A 10,269-nucleotide genomic window follows, 5' to 3' on the forward strand; every position below is an offset into this window, starting at 1 on the left:
AGGCTCTGAGGAAATTATAGCCGAACCTGACTACTTCCTAATCATTTCTCATCGTGGTACCATCAACTGTCCCCTTCCTTTCATTATGTGAACACATTCAGGGCTCTAATCAAAAGCATGGCCTCCCTCCCCCAAACGAAACAAAACTGCCACCACCACCAACCCAGACACCGCATGGCAAAACCTAGTGCATGACCATGGGCCTGAGCAGATGAAAAAGGGCAGAGATGAAATGAGACTAACCTGAGCCCGTCTGGGATCTCACGAGAGCATCTCTGCCTTCCAGCAACACAGGAATACTTTGCTTCTGAACACTGGGCCACCCGAAAAAAAGAACACACTTTACCTATATTACCCAGTTACTGGCAGAGACGCAGGATACATAAAAGGCAACTGCCCACACTTGGATTCATCTGGCAACTGCCTCCTTAGAAGCTATCAAAGCATTCAAATAAAGGTGTGAAGAAACTTTTGATGATTATAAAGATCAAACCCTAGTTATATTTTTAGAACTTAGCCTGAAAATGGTGAGGCAAACCAGAGACTGGCCATTCTATTAAACTAATTCTTTTAAAAATGGGACAGGCAGCCGACTGCAGTGGCTCACACCTGTAATCCCTGCACTTTGGGAAGCTGAGGTGGGTGGATCACCTGAGGTAAGGAGTTTGACCAGCCTGGCCAACATGATGAAACCCCATCTCTACTAAAAATACAAAAAATTAGCTGGGAGTGATGGCACGCACTTGTAATCCCAGCTACTCAGGAGGTTGAGGCAGGAGAATCGCTTGAACCTGGGAGGCAGAGATTGTAGTGAGCCAAGATCGCACCACTGCACTCCAGCCTGGGCAACAAGAGCAAAACTCCGTCTCAAAAAAAAAAAAAAAAAGAAAAAGAAACAGGCATGACAACAAATCAGAGTTACCACCAAGTGTATCACACACTCTTGCCCTCACTAACAGGAATATGAAACACAACGAAACATAATGGAAAGGTTTCCATGCAGGATAGCAGGAGGAAGCTCGCCAACTATTCAGAGAGCCAGCAGCAGCTGTCCATTCTCCAGGAAAAGGTTATGGACATGCTGAAATGTGTGTCTACACATGTATTTTAAAACAAGAAACAAAAGAGACACAAAAATCACTTAAATTTGGTTGATAAAAAACTTGTGGGGAGGTCCCTTAATTTGGACTTTAATATTCCTATTAATTTTTACTAGTAAAAGTAAAAAATCATTATGAAAATGCACAGAAGCACAAATACTCAAAACAAGGAAGCTCATCTCCTCGCACCTATTTTACTTCTTTATTTTCCAGGAGTCATTCCCTGTAACAAACATTGAAAACATTTTTTCAGTATCCCACTCTATCCAACTGAACATTTACTCTTGTCTTTTTGGTTGACCCTAATTCTTACTACTAAGAAACGACATGGTCACATGCTATATTTTGGCCAAATTCTTTTCAGGGAAGCACAGAAAACAGCGGCGCTCATGCAGCCCACCTTCTGGATGAGACGTCTCTTGCGGTTCAGAGCCAAGGGCAGAACTGGATGGAAAGCCAGTCTTTCCATTTAACAGGTGGAGAGAATGAGTAGCTAAGTGAGACGACAACCCTTTATGGTCGATAACCTGGCACTGTGTTCCAACGCCAAGACACAAATTTGCTCTGCCTTGCACACACAGGTTTCGTCCGGTTATACCCACGTAATGCCTAAGAAATCAAGAGGAGCCTGAAGTTCTTACCTGGTCATACTAGACATTTTTAAGACCGTATTTATTGTGGAAATCTAAAAGAGGAGATGAAAAAGCTTTAATTAATATTTTGATACAAAATATTTAACGGAAATTACACAAGAAAGGAGAAACTATTGAGAGAACATTGACTACTATGATCAAATTAAGTTCCTCCACCCAGGTGGTGCTCTCTACTTGGGGCGATTCTGCCACCCGCCCTAACTCCCTGGGGACACAGGGCAAAGTCTGGAAAAATTTGTGCTTGTTATAACCAGGGGAGGGGGGCACTGCTGGCATCTAGTGGGTAGAGGCCTGGGATGCTGCTGAACATCCTACAGTGCACAGGACAGTCCCCAAAACTAAGACTGACCTAGTCCAAAATGTCCACAGCACCAAGGCTGAGAAACCCTGATCCACCCCCCAGGTGAGAAAACAAGTTTAGGTAACCCACCCTACAGAAGGGGTAGTAAGCTGTAACCGAAAGTGCAGAGGAAACCAAGCCTGCCTAAAAGTTAATATATTTTTTTCTTCTTACTCATGAGTCTGGAGAACTCACTTTTTTTCCTTTAAAGTGTCCATTTGTTTGTAGAACACACACCAAAATACTCTTCTTCCCTTACTTCTCTAAAACTGTGGACGTCCTTTAACAGCAAGATGCCAGCACAGTTCCCTCTCCTATGGCCACTGTGACATCTGCCACCACAAATGGCTTCACCACTACAACTATCCAGTAAATAGGGAGCTGTTTTAAGTTTAGCAAGTGATGTCCTGACCCTAAATCACGTTAGTCGAGGAAAGTCTTCAATACTTAAAAAAACACACACACAAAAACACAAAAAAACAGAGGATGGGGGAAGGGGGGGCCAGAAAACAGTGAACAGTAACCTAAGCACCCTTGAACTGTCCTAGAAGAGTATCATATCAATCTGAGTTCATTCAGGTAACTTAGAGCAGAAACAAACACTCTCTGATCTCTCCTCCTAGAGCGGCCATTTCACAGACCTTCTGAACGGACAAACACACCAAAAAAAACTGACCCAGAAAACACTGAAAGGTACTTACTAAATGTGGGTGGAGGCCCAGCTCATGAAAAGCAGCTGAAGTAAACACTTTTTCTTGCACCTGCTTTACCACAGGTCTGCAAATGATGAACAAGAACCCAGGCATCAGTGCCAATATTAACAAAGAAAAGGCAGAACACATTTTTTTCTTCCTGAAGGGCATCCGCCCCTGGACATACCTGTGGAGTTCTGGAATGTCAGGGTTGTTTTTAAACAGTGATGAAGTCTTAATGCACTGTCTCTCCTCCTGGTTTCTATCACTTGTGCTAACCGAATGCTTCTTTGGAGAAAACATTTTTTGTGCGTTCCCCTTAAAAGTCCTCTGAGTTTCTTTAACACTAGTTTTCTTGGCTGGGAGAAATGAAGTTTCGTTCCTCCGTTTCGCTGGGGGAGCCTCACTGGACGCTTGGTATTTTCTTTTCGTAGCCTTTGCTTGCTGCGTTGTTCCCAGAAGGAAAGATCAACAAGAGATGCATTAGTCCATGAAAACAGAGCTCGGAGTGAAGCCTGACTGCCCACAGAATTGCATCTCTCCCTGCAGAGATCATTATGCCCCATATGTCAAGCAACAGTTTAGGGTTTGCAATCAGACTCTTTGACTCAGCTTCTTCCAAAAGGTAAAGAAAAGAAAAAAGAAAAAAGTCTCAGCTCACTCATCTACCAGACCTCACCAGCCATTCTTAACTGTTAAATCAATCAAGATAAGGTAAGGATGAAGAAGCAGCATTTTTCCAGTTGAATGTTAACTAATGGAGTCTGTTTTAAGGGAAGCAAGAATCCACCTTGTGAAGGGTGTGTCAATCCATATTCCTAGGAACCCATTCACCCAAGGAGAAAAGAGGGGTGGGGGAAAACGAATCTTTTCTCTCCACCAACAAAGCACACTGGAGACCGCACAGGAGAGAGGGGCGAGGGGGAATGCGCATCTCAGCCCGTGCCCAGGAAGCGGAAACATTCATTACCATTCTACCCTAGCGCCTGGATCTCTCTCATTCTCTCCTCTCAAGCTGCTCCTCCAGATTCAGACGGCCTGGAGAAAATTCCTACGCCCTGTTCCCATTCCAAATGAGAATGCTGCTCCATCCATCACCTCTACCACAATTACTTCCTACCTCCCTTGCCTTTCGAGTCTCTGAGTCCCCGAGTCTCTGCCTGATTGCGGATTACAGGCTACACAGCACTAGGGATCTCTTGCCTGTTGCTTCTTATTTCCATTACAGGAATGTGCTTAAATGCATGATGTCCAAACTTCCCCTAGGAGAAGGAACATCCAATTCCTCTATTTTCTTTGGCCTTCTTTTCTGATTTACAAATGAATATAAAAGCATCCCTTGAGTAGCCAGTGCTTGTTATTCTGGAGTTTTGGGTTCTCTCAGAATATGTTATTTTCCTCTTTGCTTGAAATAATGACTTGGTTTTACATGTCGGCTTTCTTTAGCCATGACTGTCAGCTTCAGACTAACCTACCAATAACAACAGTTCTTTGTTCCCTAAGGATTCTTTTACCTAAGTAATTAAATACAACTTCAAATATCTAATATTAATAAAGTAAAAACGGACATATTCCATCTTACAAATTTATTTTTTACAAAATCTCAAGTTTATGAATTTTCAGATTAAAGAAAGAGATGAAATCAAGTTTCAGGTTTGTTGAATCATTTGCAAGACAGTATGAAATGTGCAGACTTCACCTGATTTACAGACCCAGGACTCCTGGAGCACAAAAACTCTTAAAGGCCACTCCCGCCATACATGGACTTCCTGACAGTCCCGGGCAGGTGGACTGGCAGCCTCTCCCTGCACACCTCCTGCATCCCATGAGGCAGCCCATTCTGTTCATGACCCATTCTAGGAATCAGGAAGCTGTCTCTGACATTTATGCAAGATCTGCATCCTTGAACATCTACCTAATAGTCTGAGGTATACTTTCTGCAGCAACACAGAACAAGCTTACTTCCTCTTAACACATAACATTCCTTCATATATCACATAACTCTCTTTTCTTTCTTCTTTGGACTCAATATTTCAAACAGGACACAACTTTAGATCCTTTATCATCTTGGTCACCCTTTATTCCTATGTCAACATCTCTCTAAAAGCAAGTACTCAGAGTTAAACCCATTAGGTTTTCCATTGCTCTTAGGCTGAACTAAAAAATCTGTAATATTGCCAGGTGCCATGGATCATGCCTGTAATCCCAGCACTTTGTGAGGCTGAGGTGAGCTGATTGCTTGAGGCCAGGAGTTCGAGACCAGCCTGGGCAATATGGTGAAACCCTGTCTCTACAAAAAAATACAAAAATTAGCTGGGCATGGTGGTGCATGTCTGTAGTCCCAGCTACCTGGAGGCTAAGTTGGGGGCATCACCTGAGCCCGGGAGGTCAAGGCTGGATTGAGTCGTGATGACGCCATGATGCCACTGCTCTCCAGCCTGGGTGACAGAGTAAGACCCTCGCTCAAAAAAAAAAAAAAAAAAAAACTGTAATATGATCAACAAAGCCTTCTAGAATCTGACCTCTGGCCACCTCACCAGCTTCAGCTTTACTCTCTGCCACTCGGGTCTTCCTTCAGTTCCTAGAATGTGCTGTGCTCCTTCCTCCTCCTTTGCACATGCTACTCCCACATCCAGGACTCCACTCTGCCCTCTGGCTGGCCACCCTGTACTCATCCTTCAGATGGAGGCTGACCAACTCCTTCCTCAGAAGAGCCTTTCCTGACCTCTCTTCACCCAGTCAAGCCAAGGTGCTCTGTTCTTGGCTCTCCTGGCACCCGTATTCTCCTCCATAGCATTCGACAAAATAATAAGCATAGCACGGAACTCGTTGTTTTATGTCTGTCTTTCCCGTTAGATTGTAAGCTCCACAAGAAAGGGGCCAGTCTGTCCTACATAGCACTGTATCCCCTGTATAGGCCCCTGTCTGGCAGAGTAAGCACTCAACAAATACTTGTAAGATGAATGAATAACACACAATGGAATTATCCCTTTCCACCAGCTGGATACGGTTCTACTACTTGTTAGCTTTTCTCCCCCAGCATCCAAAACACATTCATTTAGCAGTTGTCAAGAAGCTTCGTTCTGAAGATACAAAGTAGATTTGCCAAGCCCTTGAGGAAGTTACACACTAGCAGAGGAGACAAAAGTATAAAGGCATAAATCCAACCTCTACATTGGTGCTACAGAAGAGGTACATAAAAAAGGCTATGAGAGCACCAACAAAAGCTAGACTAACATGGCCTCCTTCTGGCAAAGGAGAGGGAGGCAAGAAAACCAAGAATGCTTCGTGAGGTAGCCTCTGAGCAGAGAGGGAGCAAGGACATATCTGAATCTACTAAAAATTACTACTAAAAATCTAAAATCTACTAAAAATCTACTAAAAAATTCGTTTGAGTCTCTGTTGCCGCACCTGTAAAATGAGGGGATTTTGGCAGATGACCTCTAGGGCCCATCAAGACCTGAGAGTCTAAGATGCCATGGCTTTGATATTAATAAACATACTGAGTAGTTACTATATGCCAAGGAGTATACTAAGTACTCACATGTATTCTCTCATTTATCAACACAGGTACTGTTATCATCTCATTTTAAGATGCAAACATGGAGGCAGAGATGTGACGTAATTTGTCCCAGAATCACTGAAGGAACCAGGCTTTCCCCAGGCATCATGATTCTACATTCTAGAGGCCTCACAACAATACTATAATCCCTTTTATTAACTGCATCCTCTTTGCTTTAGAAAACATGTGTATGCTGGAAACTTACTCTTTCTGCTCAACATTATAGTTTTGCCTTGTATAGTCTTAATCCACATGGATTTGGTTTTTTATACATAGTGCGAGATAAGGTTCCAATTTCAGTTTTTAAATTCACACAACCACACAACCAATTGTTCCAGTGCCACTTATTAAAAATGTCAGCTTTTCCTAAGCAATTTGCAGTGTCATCTCGGTCATGAATAAAATTTCCATTTTTGTATTGGTCTGCTTCTGGGCTCTCTTTTCTCCTTTGCTGGTCAATTTGTACAGTTTTGCACCTTATTCCAGACTGTCTGAAGAAATAGAGCTTCATAATAATTCTTAATTTTTGATAAGTTAAAAAAAAAAAAGAAAACATCATGTGTAGTGATTCCAATTTTGAGTTGTTCTCTAAAAGGACATACACCAAAATGGCAACAAGCATTGTCTGAGTATGGCAATTATGAGTGGGTTTTTAAAAATCTTTTTTCCTAATTTTCTATAATAAATTTGTATTAATATCAGAAATTTTTTTTTGTTTTGCTTTTGTTTTGAGACAGTCTCACACTGTCACCCCAGCTGGAGTGCAGTGATCTCTGCTCACTGCAACCTCCACTGGTTCCTGGGTTCAAGTGATTCTCGTGCCTCAGCCTCCCGAGTGGCTGGGATCACAGGCACCCACCACCACACCCAGCTATTTTTGTGTTTGTTTTTTGTTTTTGTTTTTTTTTTTTGAGACAGAGTCTCGCTCTGTCGCCCAGGCTGGAGTGCAGTGGCGCAATCTCGGCTCACTGCAAGCTCCGCCTCCTGGGTTCACAGCATTGTCCTGCCTCAGCCTCCCGAGTGGCTTGGACTATAGTCACCCACCACCAGCCACCACACCCGGCTAATTTTTTGTATTTTTAATAGAGACGGGGTTTCACTGTGTTAGCCAGGATGGTCTCGATCTCCTGACCTCGTGATCCACCGGCCTCGGCCTCCCAAAGTGCTGGGATTACAGGCGTGAGCCACTGCGCCAAGCCTTTTTTTTGTATTTTTAGTAGAGATGGGGTTTCACCGTGTTGGCCAGGCTGGTCTCCAACTCCTGACCTCAAGTGATCTGCCTGCCTCGGCCTCCCAAAGTGATGAGATTACAGGTGTGAGCCACCTCGCCCAGCCCAGAAAGTATTTTTAGAGAGAAAATTTCTGCATAGTGTTAGATACAGCATAATTTAAGCTGTTAGTCTTTCTAAATCCAGTATATTAGCTACCCATCTCAAGTTCAGGCTACTGGCAAGTCTCATCAGCATATCCATCATTCTCATTCACGACATCAATGAAAATGTAGATCTAGGCCTGGCTGGCTCACGCCTGTAATCCCAGCACTGTGGGAGGCCGAGGTGGGCAGATCACAAGGTCGGGAGATGGAGACCATCCTGGCTAACACACAGTGAAACCCCATCTCTATTAAAAATTCAAAAAAATTAGCCGGGTGTGGTGGTGGGCACCTGTAGTCCCAGCTACTCAAGAGGCTGAGGCAGGAGAATGGTGTGAACTCAGGAGGCAGAGCTTGCAGTGAGCAGAGATCGCGCCACTGCACTCCAGCCTGGGAGACAGAGCGAGACTCCATCTCAAAAAAACAAAACAAAACAAAACAAAAAACGTAGATCTAGACAAGGCCACCGCAGACACCTGTCATCACTGCATTAATTAATCCCCTTTTGATAACCATAAAACTAGGTAGCCTATATGTATTTACTCAATGCTTCTTATGTGTTAGTTACCAGGCTCTGCAGAGGACACAAGCACCCCACTGACCTCCTGATGTAGCAATCTATTATCCAAAATGGAGCCAAAACTACTTTATACTGTTGGCATTTATTAAGTGCTTCTATGGGCCAGACAACGTATAGTCTTCATGTATACTATCTCAATGAATCCTTACAATAGTCTTCTATGGAGTAGAAATTATTGTTCTCATTTTATAGATAGGAAAAGTGAGAATCAGAAAGATTAAGTGACTTGCTCCAAGGTCACAGAGCTAGTGTGCAGCAAGGGCAGCATCCGAATCCCAAGTGTATCCTATTCCAAATCCCATGCTCCCAGTGGCTCTTCTATCCTTCTCCCCGCTCCACCCAGATGCAGCTACACTTGGCTAGCTGGACTCCTTACTGCCAAACATCTAAATCCTAAAGTTTGATGATCACTTTATGATTTTAATCAGTCTTTCTGTCCTGTAGTCCTCTTTTCTAAGAGACAAATCAACTATCCTAGAAACCAGTTTTCAGTTACTGCTTAAGTTAATTCTAGGGCATCTTACCCCTCTCTAGCAATGGGATTATATCAATGAAACCGATTTTCCTATCCCCCTCCATTGCATGGGGATGAAAATCTGTCCCATTTTTGAAAGCTCTTCAAAAAAACTCCTAGTTGCCAGTCCTCATTCCTGAAACAAACGAACCTTCCTCATGGCGACCAAAAGAGTTAAACTCAAAAATATCTGAAGAGACTTATTCTGAGCCAAGTATGAGTGACCATGGCCCATGATCCAGCCCTCGAGAGGTCCTGAGAACATGTGCCCAAGGTGGTCGGGGTGCAGCTTTTTTTTTTTTTTTTGAGACGGAGTCTCGTTCTGTTGCCCAGGCTGGAGTGCAATGGCATGATCTCGGCTCACTGCAAGCTCCGCCTCCTGGGTTCACGCCATTCTCCTGCCTCAGCCTCCCGAGTAGCTGGGACTACAGGCGCCCACCACCACGCCCAGCTAATTTTTTGTATTTTTAGTAGAGACGGGGGTTTCATCTTGTTAGCCAGGATGGTCTCGATCTCCTGACCTCGTGATCCGCCTGCCTCGGCCTCCCAAAGTGCTGGGATTACAGGCGTGAGCCACCGCGCCCGGCCGCGGCTTGGTTTTATACATTCTAGAGAGGCATGAGACATCAAATACATTTCAGAAATACACTGGTTTTGTCCAGAAAGGTGGGACAACTCAAAGCGGGGGCTTCCAGGCTATAGGTAAATTTAAACATTTTCTAGTTGACGGTTGAGTTTGTCTAAACACCTGGGATGGATACAAAGAAAATGCTCAGGTTAAGATAAAAGATTGTGGAGACCAAGGTTCTTTTCAAGTCTTTAGTGGCTGCCCTTAGAGACAACAGACAAGTGTTTCCTATTCAGATCTTTGAAAGGTGGTAGACTCTTAATCTCTTTAGGATTGGGAGGGCCTGGAAGAAAAAGATCTAGCTATGTTAATAGAGATTCTTTGCAGATGCAAATGTCCACCCCGCCCGCCCCCCCCAAAGAACAGCTTTGCAAAGCCATTTCAAAATGTGGCAAAGAAACATGTTTAGGGGTAATATTTTAACTTTCTTCTTTGTCACATAATGTTAGGCCAGAGCCAGTTTGGAAAGTAAGTCACGATATATAGGGTTAAATGAAAGCCATCTGATGAGAATTTATGGTTTGTAGGGCATGACTCTTCCCAGACAGGAATGTGGGCAAGATAAAAAAAAAAATCAGAGCTTAGTCCGCACTCAGTCGAGGAAACTGGCTTAGAGAAGTTAAGCTTTGGCCTGGGACTTGCGCCGGAACTTCAGGTCCTACCTTCCACGGGAAACAGCCTCTAATTCCTTCCTTTACTTTTCTAGGCGCAGGAGCCAGCTCCCCGCCCCTCCACACCGCTCCACTCCCCGCTTCCAGGCGCATCCCTGCGGGTGGTGTTCCGGTTAGAGACACGTGTTTCGGCGCAACTTGTCCCGAAGCTGCCCGG

At 44.0% G+C, this 10,269-nt stretch overlaps 1 protein-coding gene across 17 annotated transcripts in view; it reads right to left on the reverse strand.

Moving 5' to 3' along the window:
• Positions 1-10,269, reverse strand: part of DDX31 (DEAD-box helicase 31) — a 76,987-nt gene that overhangs the window by 66,470 nt on the left and 248 nt on the right. For 10 of the 17 annotated variants that reach the window (NR_136309.2, NM_001322340.2, NM_022779.9 and 7 more), the window contains exons 2-5: positions 2,973-3,229; positions 2,795-2,870; positions 1,742-1,785; positions 244-314 (exon numbers count right to left, since the gene is read on the reverse strand). Coding sequence is in view for 15 of the 17 variants with exons in the window: in NM_001322340.2 (NP_001309269.2) it covers positions 244-314; positions 1,742-1,785; positions 2,795-2,870; positions 2,973-3,229 (448 nt within the window). In the remaining 2 variants the exon portion in view is untranslated. The other 7 variants (NM_001322341.2, XM_047423735.1, XM_047423734.1 and 4 more) reach the window with 4 other exon arrangements.

Source organism: Homo sapiens, chromosome 9, assembly GCF_000001405.40.
Source record: "Homo sapiens chromosome 9, GRCh38.p14 Primary Assembly".
NCBI classification, from domain to species: Eukaryota; Metazoa; Chordata; class Mammalia; order Primates; family Hominidae; genus Homo; species Homo sapiens.